The sequence below is a fragment of the Homo sapiens genome, chromosome 11 (genome assembly GCF_000001405.40).
Source record: "Homo sapiens chromosome 11, GRCh38.p14 Primary Assembly".
Lineage (NCBI taxonomy): Eukaryota > Metazoa > Chordata > Mammalia > Primates > Hominidae > Homo > Homo sapiens.
In genome coordinates, this window is record NC_000011.10 from 120,668,222 (window position 1) to 120,685,727 (window position 17,506).

Below are 17,506 nucleotides of genomic sequence, written 5' to 3' on the forward strand. Positions count from 1 at the left end.
GGTAGGCAGACAGAGAGATAGGTAGGCAGATGAAAGAAATAAGAAAGAAAGAAAAAAGAGAGAAAGAGAGAAAGAAAAAAGAAAAGAAAAGAAGAAAGGAAGGAAGGAAAGAAAGAAAAGAATGAAAGAGAGAAAGAGGGAAAGAGGAAGAAAAGAAAGAAAAAGAAAGGAAGAAAAAGAAAAGAAAACAAAAAGGAAAGAAAAGAAATGAAAAGAAAGAGGCTTACCTCTCTGAAACCCTACCCCGGGGAAGACGTCAGCCCCAGCCCTTTAAGCTCCCATCACTCCCTGTGTTTCAGGTGGGGAATCAACCTGAACGGGGTTGACTGGTCCTCTAGGGTAGTCCACAAGGGGGTCCCCCATGTCTCCCTCTCCTCTCAGTCTCTTCCACCTGGACTCACCCAGGTTCCTTCAGTGGCTTTTCATATGATTGAGGAATGGAGTCAGATGTGTTGTGGGGAAACACTGGAGTTGGCTCCCGGGAGGCTCTAGCACAGTGCACATATTAACACCAGGAGCGTGGGCTCTGGAACCAGACTGCTCGGATATGAATCTGAGCTCCACCCTTTACTAGTGTATGACTTTGGGCAAGAACATAATTTCTCAGTGTCTCCATTTCTTCATCTATAACATGGGCTAATAGTAGTCCCTGTTTTATGCTTTTATAAGAATTCAATAAGTTCCTGCATAGAAGCACTTAGGATGGTGTCAGGCATACAGTAAGTGCTATGAAAGTGACATCTGTAATTGATAATAGTACTACTGGGCCAGCCTGTTTCCATCTCTAGCCTTTGCCTGCCCGGATCACCCTTCCTCATTTCTCCACCAAATCTTGTCTCTTCTCTTCTTTTAAACCCTGCTTTAAATTCACCTTGTTCTGGGAGATGAGAATCCCCACCTTGTCTAGGGAACTTTCCCTTCCAAAGCGTGGGTGTGTGTGTGTTCACACACTCATGTGTGGGTGGCACTCTTTCTGGGCACTTACCCCCCATTTCTGTGCAGCATTTTTTGAAACCTTATTTGAATTCCATCTACCCTGGGAGGCTAAGAGCATCCTGAGGAGAGAGCTCTGTCTTTCCTACCCTCTTAGCCTGGTGGACTCTTCACACAGGAGCAGTTGTCCCAGGTACTGACTGATGGAGCTGAATGATTCCCGCTTCTTAAAAACCTTCCTTAGCTGCTGTCCCTCTACAGTGGGCTCCTGATTTTTCTTCTTCCTTTTACAGCAAAGCTCTGCAAAAGAATTGCCTATTCAAGCTGTCTCTATTTCCTCTCCTCTCTCTCTTTCCCTATCAATAGGACCTTCTCCAACCAGACTTTCAGTCCCGGGCATTGATGCCCAGATTGCTAAATCCAGTGATCTGTCCCCAGGCCCCATCTTACTGGACTTAGCAGCAGCATTTCACATAGTCTTTTCCTCCTTCTTCCTTGAAACACTTTTTCACTTGGCTTCTAGACCACGCCCCATCTTGTTCTTGCACTGTTTCTGGCTATTCCTTCTCAGTCTCCTTTGCTCGTTCCTCATCTCTTGATCTCTGAAGATGGATGTGCCTCAGGGCCCGGTCCTTAAACCTCTTCTCTCTGCATGCCCACTCCCTGGTGATCTCATGCAGTCTTAGGGCTTTAAAGCATCAATATGCTTATGACTCTCTAATCTCATCTGTAGCTCTGACCCCTTCCAGAACTCCAGATTCATCCCCACTGGGATGTCTAACAGAAACTCAGATTTGCCATGTCCAAAATCGAGTTATTGATTCTCCCCTCCATGCCTGCTTCTCCTACTGTCTACTCATTTCATAAATGGTAATGCCATTCTATCTCTGTGGACATAGGCTCCAAACCTTGGAGTCATCCTTGGTCTCATCTTTCTCTGATACCCACATCCTCTCTATCAACAGTCCTGTTGGCTCTGCCTTCCAAGTATATCCAGTACAACCCAACTGCGTCTCACCACCTCAGCAGGTGCTTCCCTTTTCCAAGCCAGTATTATTTCTCCCTGGATTACTGCAAACCTTTCCTGTTAGTTTCCCTGCCTCTTTCTTGCCCCTCACTTTTCATTCTCAAAATGGCAGCAAAAATGACTCTTTTAAGATGTAAATTGGATTGTGTCAGTCCACTGCTCCAGTCCTCTGCTGACTTCCCATGTCAGAATAAAAGATGAAGTCCTCACAGTGGCCCACAGGGCGGTCCATGAACTGCCCTTTATTCTGATGAATTTTATTGTCATTTCCTACCACCCTGCCTCTCACTCATGCCACACACCACCCCCAGCTCCACCAGCTTCTTTGCTTTTCCTCAAATGCACCAAGTGTGCTCCTGCCCCAGGGCCTTCACACCTGCTGTGCCCTCTGCCTGGAACACTTTTCACCTGGATATCTGTGTGGTTCACTTTCTCATGCCATGCAGGTCATGCCCTGACCATCCTCTAGCCCTGCCTCTGCCCCTGACACTTTCTGTCCTTCTCTGCTTCCTTTTTCTTTTTTTTATTTTTATTTTTATTATACTTTAAGTTCTGGGATACATGTGCAGAATGTGCAGGTTTGTTACATAGATATACATGTGCCATGGTGGTTTGCTGCACCCATCAATCCGCCATCTACACTAGGCATTTCTTCTAATGCCATCCCTCCCCTTGTCCCCCACCCCTCGACAGGCCCCAGTGTCTGATGTTCCCCTTCCTGTGCCCATATGTTCTCATTGTTCAACTCCCACTTATGAGTGAGAACATGTGGTGTTTGGTTTTCTGTTCCTGTGTTAGTTTGCTGAGAATGGTTTCCAGCTTCATTCATGTCCCTGCAAAGGACATGAACTCATTCTTTTTTATGGCTACATAGTATTCCATGGTATATATGTGCCACATTTTCTTTATCCAGTCTATCACTGATGGGCATTTGGGTTGGTTCCAAGTCTTTGCTGTTGTGAATAGTGCTGCAGTAAACTTACGTGTCCATATGTCTTTAGAGTAGACTGATTTATAATCCTTTGGGTATATACCCAGTAATGGGATTACTGGGTCAAAAGGTATTTCTAGCTCTAGATCCTTGAGGAATCGCCACACTGTCTGCCACAATGGTTGAACTAATTTACACTCCCACCAACAGTGTAAAAGCATTACTATTTCTCCACATCCTCTCCAGCATCTGTTGTTTCCTGACTTTTTAATGATCGCCATTCTAACTGGCGTGAGATGATATCTCATTGTGGATTTGGATTTCTCATGGATATCTCATTTTGATTTGGATTTCTGTAATGGCCAGTGATGATGAGCTTTTTTTCATATGTTTGTTGGCCGCGTAAATGTCTTCTTTTGCAATATGTCTGTTCATATCCTTTGCCCACTTTTTGATGGGGTTGTTTGTTTTTTTCTTGTAAATTTGTTTAAGTTCCTTGTAGATTCTGGATATTAGCCCTTGTCAGATGGATAGATTGCAAAAATTTTCTCCCATTCTGCAGGTTGCCTGTTCTCTCTGATGATAGTTTTTTTGCTGTGCAGAAGCTCTTTAGTTTAATTAGATCCCATTTGTCAATTTTGGCTTATGTTGCCATTGCTTTTGGTGTTTTAGTCATGAAGTCTTCACCCATGCCTATGTCCTGAATGGTATTGCCTAGGTTTTCTTCTTATGGCTAGCCAGTTTTCCCAACACCATTTATTAAATACAGAATCCTTTCCTCGTTGCTTGTTTTTGCCAGGTTTGTCAAAGGTGAGATGGTTGTAGACGTATGTTGTATTTCTGAGGTCTCCGTTCTGTTCTATTGATCTGTATATCTGTTTTGGCACCAGTACCATGCTGTTTTGGTTACTGTAGCCTTGTAGTATAGTTTGAAGTCACATAGTGTGATGCCTCCAGCTTTGTTCTTTTTGCTTAGGATCGTCTTGGCTATACGGGCTCTTTTTTGGTTCCATATGAAATTTAAGCCAGGCACAGTGGCTCACGCCTGTAATCCCAGCACTTTGGGTGGCTGAGGCAGGCGGATCATGAGTTCGGGAGTTTGAGACCAGCTTGGTCAACATGGTGAAACCCCGTCTCTACTAAAAATACAAAAATTAGCAAGGCATGATGTCAGGCACCTGCAATCCCAGCTACTCAGGAGGCTGAGACAGGAGAATCACTTGAAACTGGAAGGCAGAGGTTGCAGTGAGCCAGGATTGCACCACTGCACTCCAGCCTGGTCAACAAGAGTGAAACTCTGTCTTAAAAAAAAAATAGAAAAAAGAAATTTAAAGTGTTTTTTCTAATTCTGTGAACAGAGTCAATGGTAGCTTTGATGGGAATAGCATCGAATCTGTGAATTACTTTGGGCAGTATGGCCATTTTCACGGTATTCATTCTTCCTATCCATGAGCATGGAATGTTTTTCCGTTTGTGTCCTCTCTTATTTCCTTGAGCAGCAGTTTGTAGTTCTCCTTGAAGAGGTCCTTCACATCCCTCTAAAGTTGTATTCCTAGGTATTTTATTCTCTTTGTAGCAATTGTGAATGCGAGTTTGCTCGTGATTTGGCTCTCTGTCTATTATTGGTGTTTAGGAATGCTTGTGATTTTTGCACATTGATTTTGTATCCTAAGACTTTGCTGAAGTTGCTTATCAGCTTAAGGAGTTTTTGGGCTGAGATGACAGGCTTTTCTAAATATATAATCATGTCATCTGCAAACAGAGATAATTTGATTTCCTCTCTTCCTATTTGAATATGCTTTACTTCTTTCTCTTGCCTGATTGCCCTGGCCAGAACTTCCAATACTATGTTGAATAGGAGTGGTGAGAGAGGGCATACCTGTCTTGTGCCAGTTTTCAAAGGGTATGCTCCCAGCTTTTGCCCAGTCGGTATGATATTGGCTGTGAGACCATCCTCTATCCCCTCCTCTGCCCCTGACACTTTCTGTCCTTCTTCTCTGCTTTATTTTTCTATAACATTCATCATCATCTGACATATGGGTCCTATTGTTTATTGTCTGAGTCCTCCCATGGGGAAAAACCCTTTGTTTAGTTCTCTGCTGTTTCCCCAGCACTTAAGACTGAGTGCATGGTGTATAGTAGGTGTCCACTAAATATCTACTGAATGAATGAATGATGGAGACCCAAGGGAGGTCCCAAAGGAGCTTTACATTTGAAAGCTTTTGGAAGGCAGAGATGGGCGGTCTCACGGACACAGAGGCAGCCCTTAACAAGTGCTGCTTGCCGAGGACTGTGCAGTGATGCTGCTGGCTCCCTGTCCCCATATTGTCTGATCCCTGCAGCCAAACCCCAGGTCCTGAGGCAAATCTTGTTCCTATTTGGAGGAAGCCCAAGCCAGCAGTTTAATGACTCAGCATCAACCTGAGTTTTGACTGTTGGTCTTACCTTGTCCCTCAGATCCAAACACCAGGACTTGGCAAACACAAGTCCACCAGCGCTTGTGTTTCCCCTGCAGTGCCTAAGTCTTCTCCTCAGGTCTGAGACTTCACTCTGATGCTCTGGCTGTGCCCAAGCTCCTCTGGGACTATGGTCAGACCTTTTTGTCTCAGTCTTGCAGGAGCCTGGAGACCGGAACCTGGACCTAGCATCTCAGCTGGGACTGCCCCTGGCCTCCAGCTCTTTCCTGAAACTGCCATTGTTGGTAGTTTCAGGAAACTGGGGGAGCCTTGACCAGTTCTGACTGTTTGCTTTTCCTTAGATTCACAAAATCTGCATGCTGGCAGGGCCCTCAAGTAACTCATTCCTCCTTTGAATCATTCTGACCATTGGTTTTTCTATTGAGCCTGACTCTATCTCTCTGTGCCTACCGTTCTAGCTCTGTCTGTTCTTCGGGGCCATACAGAACAGGCCTGGTGCTCTTCCCTGTGATGGCCCCTCTGAGACCTGCAGCAATATCATTTCATGGCTCCCGGCATCTTCTTTCTTCCAGAGATGCACCATTAGTGCCTTTGATGGTTCCTTCCATCTCATGGATTGGATCCAATTCATCAACCTGGTCACCCTCCTCTAAATCAGTTTTCTTTTTTCTCCATCCTAATTAGGATGTGATCCCCCAAATCAGAAGCAGGCACTCTTTTCACCTGCTTTTCATCCACTATAGGTATCTGCTCCAGCCTGGTGGGGATCTGGCCTCTAGGTTCAGAGCCCCTTGTTGAACCCATTCCCACCCAGCCCTGGCTGTCCAGTCTTTGGGTTAAAGAGAGCCAATCTAGATCTCGACACGTGCCTATAAAACACATCCCCCTGCCCTGGCTCTTCATAGGTTGGGCTTTGCTTTCAGTAGCCAGAAGCAAGGCTGCTCTTTGAAACCACTGCAGCAGGTTGCCCAGTGTCTAAAAATCACTGCATTGAAGGGCCAGGTGCTGGGAGCTTCCCTAAGTGGAATCACCTCCTTGGCTTCCTCCAAGCTGTGTTGTTCCCATCCTTTCTAGCACATGGTCTTTGAAGCATGGAGTGACACAGGTGGGGGAGGGAATGCCAGTTATCTAGCAACAGTTATAAATTTCCCTTAGCGGCAGGGATCTAACAACATGAGACTTTGAGCTTTCAGCTCCCAGATGAAAGAACAGGGATTTTCCCAGCAATGACAGAAAAGGGAAACATATAGCCCTGGGGGCCCCCACAGGAATCTCTGTTATGGAGCTGCTCCAAGGGGGCACCAACCACAAGCCTGAGTAGAATTGCAATAGGTGGCCCCAGACCTCTGGGCAGCCACCCAGAAATCTCAGGCATGCAGCCTGGAGAAGAGGGAGAACTTTCCAGAGGCCACAGTTAAGGAATTTTCCTTGCACCTCCTGGAGCTGCTGGAGTTTCTGAAATTAAAAGGGCCTTTATCTGGAAATTATGGTTGAATGCCAGTTTCCCCTGTAGAGTCAATTTGGAAAACCTAAAGCACTAAAGGAATTAAGTTTGCTAAATGGAAATAAGTGGAGTTGGTGGAGATGAAATTGGATGTATGTAAGTGAAATCATCTGTGGATTGCCCCCTTTGGCGCTTTCCCTTTATTTAACCAACCTCTTCTTCATCTGCCATAGGAATGATCTCCCAAAGAGCACGGTGGCCCCTGGGAGGGTCCCATAGGGGAGGCAGGGCCACCTTCTCTGGGAGAGTTGCTGCAGTTGGCTTATAGTTGCAGCCTGGGTGGGACTCCCTTCTGGGTCTGGAGTTCACATTCAAGTCTTCATAGCCTAGTCTGGCCTGGATCCAAAATTTGTGTGCCTGAATCCCACTTACTAGCTAAGTGCTTGTAGGCAAATTACTCATCCATTCTCACACTCAATTTTCCATCTTTGGACTGGAGATAACAGAGCTTATCTTTAATTGTTGCATTAATTGAGAGGACACAGGTGAAGTAGCATGCACAGTGTGTGGCATATAAGAAATATTAGTTTCTATTTTTTTATTTATTTAAAAAATAGTAGTTTGCTCAAGCAACTGGATGGCATCATAGGGTAGTGAGACAGGTGTGGGCTTTATTGATGTACAAACCTGCAATTGAATTGCAATTTCAGCATGTGATCTTGGGCAAATTATTTGGTCTCTGTTTCCTACTATGAAATGGGGATAATAATACTCACCTTATAGAATTGTTGAGGTTTACATGAGCTAATGTATGGAAAATAGGTAGGACAGTGCCTGACAGTAGGAAGCCCATAAATAATAGTTATTATCGATAGTTCTACCATAATTATTATTACTGTAGTTTTCCATTGCTGCCATGACATATTTTCACAAACTTAGTGGCTTAAATAAGACAAAATTATGATCTTACAGCCTGTAGGTCAGAAGTCTTAACTGAGCTAAAGCTAAGATTTTAGTGGGGTTGCATTCCTGTCTGAAGGCTCTAGGAGAGAACCTGCTCATTTGGGTTGTGGATGGAATTATTTCCTTGTGGTTATAGGATGGGGGGCCCCATTTTCTTGCTGGCTGTCAGCTGAGAGCCATTCCCAGCTTCTAGAGGCCGCTGCATCCCCTGGCTCCATTTTCCTCTTCCTCCATTTTCAAGGCCAGTAATGGTGGGTTGAGTCATTCTCGCCTCACAAGCTCACTGAGCTCAGCTGGGAAAGGTTCTCCAATCTTAAGGACTCATGAGATTCGATTGAATCTCCCAGGATAAGCCAGGATCATCTCCCTGCCTCAAGATCTGTAACCTTACTCACATTTGCAAAGCTCCTTTTGCCACGTGTCTTAGTCCATTTTGTGTTGCTGTAAAAGAACACCCAAGCCTAGGCAATTTGTAAAGAAAAGAGGTTTATTTAGCTCATAGTTCTGCAGGCTGGGAAGCTCCAGGGCGTGGCCCTGGCTTCTGGTGAGAGCTTTCGTACTGCATCACAACATGGCAGAGAAGATCAAAAGGGGAGGCAGATATGTGCAAAGAGGGAAAAACCTGACGGGTGTCTTGACTTTCTAACAACCCACACTCTCTTGGGAAGGAATCCATTCCTGCAATAAATAGTCCTGTCGCTTGAGAGCAAGAACTCACTCACTGCAGAACAGCACCAAGCCATTCATGAGGAATCCACCCCCACAACCCAAACACCTCCTACCGGGCCCCACTTCCCAGCACTGCCACATTAGGGATAAAATTTCAACATGAGTTTGATGGGGACAAACAAACCATGTCCAAACCATAGCACCATGGAAGGTAATGCATTTGCAGGGACTGGGTTTTAGGATGTGGGCATCTTTGGGGGCCATTATTCTTTCTACAACAACTGTTCTTGTAATGTGGGAGGCTAAGCCGCTGGAAAACCTTCTCATGAGCAGTTCCATGTGCAGGGACTGCACACTTGGAAACTGTCCATAGCTCGATCCTTGGCCCAAGTTGCCTTACTCCTGTGATCATCAACCATTTTGCATAAGAACCAGGCATCCCAGAGCACCGAAGCTGATGTGTTTTTTTCAATGGACAGAGGGAACTGGACATGTTGGCTCTTCCATTACTGCAACTGAGATTATGCCACCAGGGAAGAGACAGCTGGGAAGGGGCTGTGTAACAGGAAGTATTTTATCACGTTGATTTAGTAATCTCGCCACTCCTAACATGTCAGGGCACTAAAGGAGTAGCCTGAGAGCTGAGTGTGATCTGAGCCTGTGTTGTGTGGGCTCCGCTGGGCTCCGCTCAGAATGATGTGTTTATTTCCTGCCATGGGGTCTAGAGAGAATAACATCCCGCCACAGTCCCAGCAGACTCTGTCTTATTCTGCCTGCCATCCTTCCAGAAGGGCACAGATCTATGTGTGCTTTAAGAAGCAATGTGATGTAGGAGAGTACTGCTATGTGTGAAGAATGAGAACACTTAGGATCTGAAGCTGGTCCTGCCTGTTCCTCTGTTCTCTGGTACTTACTTAATACTGACAATGCCCTGTTTAGGGCTCAGCTCTATGGAAAATACAAAGAAATAGGATATTTTGTTGGTACATGTTCTAAATGTGGAAAGGCCAGACTCTCAGACATGAAGGAACTAGAGGGCGATACGAAATAAGGAAGTATTAAGTGCTGAGACATCAGCTCTGGAGTTAGGCAGTGGTGACTGTGGTGGTCCAGGGACCGTGGGGACATTGCCATTTTGCGCCTCCTTTTCCCTGTTTGATATTTCTTTTGTTGCTGCCTAGAGCAGAGTAAGAGAGAGGGCAGTGGACCATCCCTTTAAGATACTGTACATCACAGGAGAGGGGATGACATTCATGTTTATTGAGCATCTACTGTGCCCATCACTTCCATAAGTTATATGATTAATTTTTATAACAACCTCCAGAGGTAGGTTTGGTAATGTCTGCTATTTGGGTGTGGAAACTGAGGTGTGGAGGGACCAAGGTCACCCATGCAGAACATGGAAGATGCTGGATTTGAGCCAGACTCCCTGGCGCCAACCCCATGCTCTATCTATTACACTAGACTCCTCCCTGCTGTGCTCCCCTCTGCAGAGACCCCGAGGCCTCTGGGCAGTGCCTGTGGCTCTGGAGGTGCAAGAGAAGGTAGGTGTGATTGAGGTCTGCCCAAGACCCATGGGACAACCTCCGTTTCTTTAGGGCAGACCCCACACCTCATCCCCCTTCTTGTCCCCACCTCTGCTGGTTTCCTTTTCAGACACTTGAGAGAGAGGAACTAACTTAAAATGGAACCACAGGGTTAGTGCTAAAGGCACCGTTAGGTTAAAATTGAGAGCTGAGGCTGTGGTGCTCAGAAGGGCCAAGTCTGCATGCTGGCTTTATTTATAGTCGCTTATTTATTAGATTCCAAATGATGTTTAACCAGGAATCATATGGCAGTGATCTTTGATTACTTATGCGGCTAATAGCTGAACATTTATTATTATTGCTATTTATTCAGCCAGCTAAGTGTACCGGGTGCTTCTCTTTCAGGAAAGCACCAAGGGAAGGGGCCAAAATAGAGGAGTGGCTTGGCTGGTGGTCCTATAGACCAGGCGAGGGGCTCCACTAGAAGGGTTTTTTTTTTTTTGTTTTAGTTTTTGTTTTTGAGACGGAGTCTTGCTCCGTCATCCAGGCTGGAGTAAAGTGGCACGATCTTGGCTCACTACAACCTCCACCCACCGGGTTCAAGCAATTCTCCTGCCCCAGCCTCCCATGTAGCTGGGATTACAGGTACGTGCCACCACACCTGGTTAATTTTTTGTATTTTTAATAGAGACAGGGTTTCACCATCTTGGCCAGGCTGGTCTCGAACTCCCGACCTTGTGATCCACATGCCTCGGCCTCCCAAAGTGCTGGGATTACAGGTATGAGCCACCACGCCTGGCCTGGTTTTTTTTTTTTGTTTGTTTGTTTTTGTTTTTGTTTTTAAAGAGCCAATCCTTAAAATAGAGGGAATAGGGGTGGGAGTGCAGAGAACACCCTAAAGGGAGAGAAGAGTTTGAGATAAGAGTTGGGACTTCTGGAGCTAGAAATATCTAGCTTTATAATAACAGCAGCATTTATTCAGTATTTATTATGTGCCAGGCAGTATGGTAAATGCTCTTCAAAATGATTAATCCTACCACCACCTCCATTTCACAGATGAAAAACCAGAGGCTCAGAGAAATTCATAACTTAGCTGGTGTTCAAATCCAAGCCCTGTCTGCCTCTGGAGAGACCACATGTCCCTTATACTGCCCTGCCCTCCGTCAGAGTCAGTGCCCTTCTTCTCTTTTGGTTAAGCTTAACTTTTTGAGTAAACAGCCCAGGAAAAGAATGGAAAACCTAGTGCCCCCGGAGCCCAGGAAAGAGTATGGAGAATGCAGCTCTTGGCTTCTCTGTTCTTTTCCCCAGTGTTTTGCAGCCCACTGGGAAGGAGCTGCCAGTGGTCCCTGGAGCATGGCCCATGCAGGGCCATCTAATACAGTCCTGGGACAGGCCACTGCATGGCAGGCAGGGTGTCTGCCTAGAGTTGTGATGGTGCAGGGAGCAGCTGGGCAGTGCCAGGCCCAGAGGCACCAAGATGGGAACCTGTAGTGTCTCCACCCTCTGGACACATGAAGAGAGCAGGGACCCTCCTGGCAGGGAGGACTTGTCTAACTGAACCTCCCCTGCCCACCTCAGACATGCTAACCTTTGGGCTCTCTCATGCCTCCCATCCTCACTCTTTCTCAGTTCTGTCTTTGCAGGAGGAAGCTCAAACTCCTTTTCAGGGCATGGGAAGCCTTCACAGGCAGGCTGCAGATGATCCAGGTGGCTTCATCTTTCAACATCGTTCCCATCCCTATCCCTACCGTAAACACTCAATACCCATGAATTCTGTACTGCAGACGCTGGAGTCCCTAGAACATCCTTGCCTCTCACATCGCTGGGCCTTTGCTGTCTCCACTGCCTAGAATACTCTTCTTCTCACCTTGCCTGCCCAGCAGAATTTTATTCACCATTCAAGGCCTTGCTTATATATGACCTCCTCCTCTGAAGGCCCTTCTCTGATGGCCCTTTCTTTTCTTGAGATAGAGTCTCACTCTGTCACCCAGGCTGGAGTGCAGTGGCGTGATCTTAGCTCATTGCAACTGCCACCTCCCAGGCTCAAGTGATTCTCCTGCCTCAGCCTCCCAAGTAGCTGGGACTACAGGTGCGCTCCAGCATGCCTGGCTAATTTTTATATTTTTAGTAGAGATGGGGTTTTGCCATGTTGGCCAGGCTGGTCTCAAGCTCCTGATCTCAGGTGATCAACCTGCCCCGGCCTCCCTAAGTGCTCCCTAAGTATTACAGACGTGAGCCACTGTGCCTGGCCCGATGGCCTTTTCTATCTCCTCTGAGAGTGGATCTTGCCCTCTCTGGGGCTCCAGTGCCACCATATGGGTGACTGCACCTCAGCCTCACCCCACATGGCGTGGTGACATGAGTTTCAGCATCAGTCTCTCAAGGCAAAGACTATGTCTCATTACCTCTGACTCCCTCGGCCTTGCTCCATAGTAGGTGTTCAGTAAACATTAGTCAAGTGAATGTAGGAATGACTCATTCTTATCCTGGGCTGCTGTGGAAAAGGTGTTTGTTTCAATTGGGGCCACATACTCACTGGCTTGAAAATGGGGACATCAGGGCAGGAAACAGGGACTAACTGAGCTAAGTTATGCAACCTGAAATAGGACAGCAAAGCACCTGGAACATGCTGGATAGAGGCGAAGGGAGCTGGATATTTGTCTTTGAGTTTGGAAGAGAGGAGAAGGAGACCTTGGCCAATACCAAAGTAGGATTTCAGGGTCTCTCTCCAAGGACCCTCTTCTCCCTGTAACACTAACGTTGAGTCTCTGGCCTTTTCAGTTACGGCAAAATATATCATGGGCAGCCACTGACCTTTAGAAGGAGGACTGTGTGTGCTTGGCCCAGCATCACAGGGGCCCCTGCACTGCCTGGCCCTGATGCCCGACTCCACCCAAGGAAGACCACCCCACAAACAGAGTGGGCTGGCCTTGGGCCTTTTCACCTTTTTACCCCATTCCTCAGTGCTCTTCCCTTCATCTCTAAGACACAGCCAGTGGCTGCCAGGGCTTTAGCCAGATGTCAGGAAACTCAAAGACAGGATCATCAAAAAGAAAGGGATTGGGGAGGAAGACTAGAGAGGGCCTGGGGTAAGGGGCCAGGGAGGATTGGTGACCAGGAAAGCTCAGGGTGCAGGAGGGAAGCGCAGGAGTGGGGTGAGTCCTGGGCTCTGAGACTGTGGAATTTGCAAGGCTCACATCAGCTCTCCAAGCCTCAGTTTTCTCCTCCTGTGGCCTCTGAGGTCCTGCCCAGCCTGGGATTCCATGTTCCTGTGCGGTTCCTCTCTCTCGAGGCTGCAACAGGTGCTGCGCCTTTAGCCTCCCTCCTGTCCTTCTCCTCTGCTGTTTTCCCTCCCTCTCTTCATTTTGCCCCGCTAAGTATTTACTCTCCACCCTGGTCTAGATTATCCCCTGGTTAAGTGCCAATTAGCTGCTGGCTGCCTGTTCACTCAGTTTGATGCATTCGGTGAGGCACAGAGGCCAAGGCCTGATTTTGGAGAGGGAGCGTAATGAGAACAGAGAACAGCGGCGGCCCACTTAGTTTGGATTTTAATAAAGTTTCCAGCTAACCTAAATCATCCCCGTCACAGGCAGCCCAGCAACCACTGAGTCCCCCAGGCTGGGAACAGGCAGGAAGGGGCAGAAATGGGCTGGAGGGGACAGAGATGGACAGAGCCCTGTTGAAGAGGAGGAGCTGTCTGTAGCCGAGGGTCCCCCTTGACAGCAGGGGCAGGGCCATCTCAGAAGTGCTCCGGGTAAAGGCTCTCCAAGGGGAAGCATAATGCCTGCTCTTTCAGCAGCTGTTAATTAGTTGCAGATGATGAGATAATTCATAAAAATTAGCAATGATTTCCTTCATTGTGTTAATATCACTGGGCAATAAAACTGCTGTTAAGGATGACTTTTCTCAGCATCGAGGAGTGAGATGTCAAGATAAAAACAGCCCTCCCTGGAGGTGGAGGGAGGAAAGAAGAAAAACCGAGCTGCTGAGACAGTGACAGGGGCAGTGATTTCCAAGCTTTGGCTGGAATCGTCAGAAGGAAGTCGAATTGAAATGCAAATCCTGGTGTCTCTCAGAGCACAGGCTGGAAAGAAATGCATTTGGTGGTGTCACCTTGGCGGCCAATGGACAGGCAGACGGGTGGCGGGAGGGCTTCCCTGCTGCTGGCAGAAGGCAAGATGGTGGCAGCCAGAGGCCCAGCGAGGCTTCACTTGAGCAGGGAGTGGGTCTGGGTCCCCAGGAGAGTCCTTCAAAGAGGAGACACACTTGCTTATTTGGCCTGTAGCATGGTCTGGTCTTGACTCCCTCCATTTGCAGCTCTTGATGCTTTTTCTTTCTCTCGCCAAGTTCTGCCCACACTGGCCTAGTATCAGTTTCTTGAGTGCACCAAGAGGCTTCCTGATTTAGGGCCGTATCCATGCATGCTCTTGTCTCTGTCTAGACCACTATTTGCCCCCATCTTTTTTTTTTTTTTTTCCCATCTGGCCAACTCCTATTTATCCTACAGGTAAAATGCCATTTCTGCATTTTGAACCATATTCCCAGTGCCCGACACAGTTTCCATCTTATACATGGGAAGTGGGTTGCATAGATATGTGGCCTCTTCCCTGCTTAAACCCTTCCCCATGCTCACACTGCCTATAGGATAGGATCCAAGCCCCTCCCTACCTCACCAGCCACCTCTCCATGGACCTTCTCAACTTTTCTCTGCTTGAGGATCCCTGAACATGACACACTTTTCCACCTCTGTCACTACACTTAGAAGGCTTTTGTTCCAAGTGTCTGCCTGGTGAATGCTTACTCGTTCTCTAAAACCCAGGTTAAGTGTCGTGTTCTCTGTGACACGCTCCCTGATACTGCTCCCCCTCTCTCTTGTTGCTTATACCCTCCTTGTGTGTCATCGTTCCTCAGAGATACCTTCATTGTAGCAGACTTACTCACTGGTCTTTCCTGGGCTTGCTGCCCTGGTTTAAGAGCATTGACTAACACAGAGTGGACACTCCATAAACTGTTGCATGAACCGATAGATGAATGAGTGTAAAGCTAAAAAAATGGCTTTAGGTACTATTTCATAATCCAGGCCAGAGATGATGTTGGCTTGGAGGGTAACAATGGAGATGGTGAGAAGTAAACATCTTTTTGAAGTTGAACTGACTAGTCTTGGTAGTAGGCTGGATGTGAATGATGAAGGAAAGCTCAACAATGACCAAGTAGGTAGCCAAAGTATCATTTATTAAGAAGGGGAAGAAGGGAGGAGAGACCTTGGGGTAGGGGCGGGGAGATCAAGAATTCTATGTGGCACATGTTAAATGAGAAATGATTGTAAAACATCCAAGTATAGATGTCAGGGAGTCAGATGGACATAAGATATTAGAAGAAGAGGTCCCAGGTGGCGACATAAATGGAGAATCTTTGACATATAAGTGGTATTCAGAGCCGTGGGACCAGGCCGTGTCCTAGGGAGAGAATGTCTGGAAAGTGGCATGGTGAGCCCAGGACTGAGCAACCTAAATATTTGCTCAAAAAAGAAAGATTTGCAAAATAGACATTGTCTAGTGAATGCATAATGAACTGCAGGACTAAAGTATAGACCAGACTTAACCAGCCAAGACATTGTAACTGGAAGTAAAGAGTGGAAAGCTGTGAAGTTTGTGCCTAGGGGGCATATTGGTCAATGATGAGGCTAGCCATAGAAAAGTAAAGAAGGGTCTTGACAGACCAGCAGGTTTTTAGATAAAGTCAGCACAAGCTCTGGAGTACCCGTTTGCCAGGCTAGAAAACGTTATCCCTAGCAATGTGTTGGAAGATTCTGAACACAGACTTGCAAATAAGTACAGAACTTTTCCAGACCACTAACACTTTCTGGCAAGACTTTTTTTGTTTTTGTTTCTCTGGGAAGAAAGCAAAGTGAGGCTGGGTGTAATGGCTCACACCTGTAATCCCAACACTTTGGGAGGCTGAGGTGGGAGGATTGCTTGAGGCCAGGAGTTCGAGACCAGCCTGGGCAACATAGGGAGACCCTGGCTCTACAAAAAAATAAAATTAGTTGGGCGTAATGGTGCATGCTTGTAGTTCCAGCTATTTGGGAGGCTGAGGCAGGAGAATCACTTGAGCCTGGGAGATTGAGGCTGCAGTGAACTGAGATCTCACTACTGCACTCCCATCTGGGTGACAGAGCAAGAGCCAGTTTCTAAGAAATAAAAAAGGAAAGAAATCAAAGCGAAACAAATGGAATATGAATTTGATTTAATTGATGGTCGGTTGGCCCATTCAGTTATTCATAGTATGGCCAAGCCATTGTAAGTCAGGGTTAAGAAGAAAATTGACATTATTTGATCCCTAACCTCTAAGAGTTTGTGGAGACAATACGAACACACATGAAAAGTGAATGACAGTGCAAGACCGTTTAGTTACTTTAGCAAGGCAAAACATATTTAAGTGTTCAATGAATGATGCAGACTCTAAATATATGGTAAAGAGCCTAGGTGCAGGAGAATTCACCCTTTCTTTACCAGAGTAGTCAAGGAAAGCTTTTCTGTGCTTACCTGACACGGTGATTCATCTTGGAGGAGTAAATAAAGATGCTTTTTTTTTTTGGAGACGGAGTCTCGCTCTGTCGCCCAGGCTGGAGTGCAGTGGCGCGATCTCAGCTCACTGCAAGCTCCGCCTCCCGGCTTCACGCCATTATCCTGCCTCAGCCTCCGAGTAGCTGGGACTACAGGCGCCCGCCACCGCGCCCGGCTAATTTTTTGTATTTTTAGTAGAGACGGGGTTTCACTGTGGTCTCGATCTCCTGACCTCGTGATCCGCCTGCCTCAGCCTCCCAAAGTGCTGGGATTACAGGCATGAGCCACCACACCTGGCCATAAAGGTGCTTTTTAAGCTGTGAAGGAAGTCAGATGGAATGGAAGGGAACCTCTGAGTCAGTACTTCTGTGGAAGATGACATTTAGATCTGCTGCCATCTGTCGGTGAGTGTGGAAAGGAGCTTGGAGCTTAGTCTTCAGGTACTGGAAAGGAAAGGTGCCAAGAGGAACCAGGTGTTGACACCTCCCTCTCTGGAGGACAAGTGAGCTTTAGTCTAGTTCATTGTCGTTAAAAATATGACCCTCAGACCAGCAGCATTGACATCACCTAAGAGAGTGTGAAAATCCAAAATCTCCAGTCCTATCCCAGAGGTACTAAATCAGTGTCTGCATTTTCATCAAATCCCCAGGTGATTCTCATGTTCATTAAAGTTTGAGAAACATGGGTCTAACCCTTGTCATGTAGGGCTCTTCTGGGATACCTCCTGGGTCCGCCCGTACCCCTCACCTGCCAGAGATTCTGATTGGTGGGACTAGGATGGGACTTGGAAGTTAATATTTTTAATAGGTACCCCCAGATGATGCCATCAGACAAGTGTTCAAAGCTCTGCTTTAGGCTGTTCTGTTGCTGTGCCCCATGTCCCTGGGGCAGGCCGGCTTTTTCTCCATGCACACACCTGGACCTAGGCATTCTTTTCCCTATCAAACTCATTTTTTTGAAGACCACCAACCCAATGGCATTTTCTTGGTCTTCCTCATCTCATCCCCCTTCACTTTTGCAGCAGTTGCAG

At 46.9% G+C, this 17,506-nt stretch overlaps 1 protein-coding gene across 22 annotated transcripts in view, besides 1 other annotated feature; it reads left to right on the plus strand.

The window, feature by feature from the left end:
• Nucleotides 1-17,506, plus strand: part of GRIK4 (glutamate ionotropic receptor kainate type subunit 4) — a 477,159-nt gene that overhangs the window by 156,474 nt on the left and 303,179 nt on the right. The gene's annotated exons all lie outside the window — the stretch shown is intronic.
• Nucleotides 12,885-13,386: an enhancer, noted in NCBI's record as "H3K4me1 hESC enhancer chr11:120551815-120552316 (GRCh37/hg19 assembly coordinates)". NCBI's record gives its function as "activates a minimal SCP1, AML or CMV promoter by ChIP-STARR-seq in primed H9 embryonic stem cells {active_cell/tissue: H9 hESC(primed)}" and the evidence as "EXISTENCE:reporter gene assay evidence [ECO:0000049][PMID:30033119]".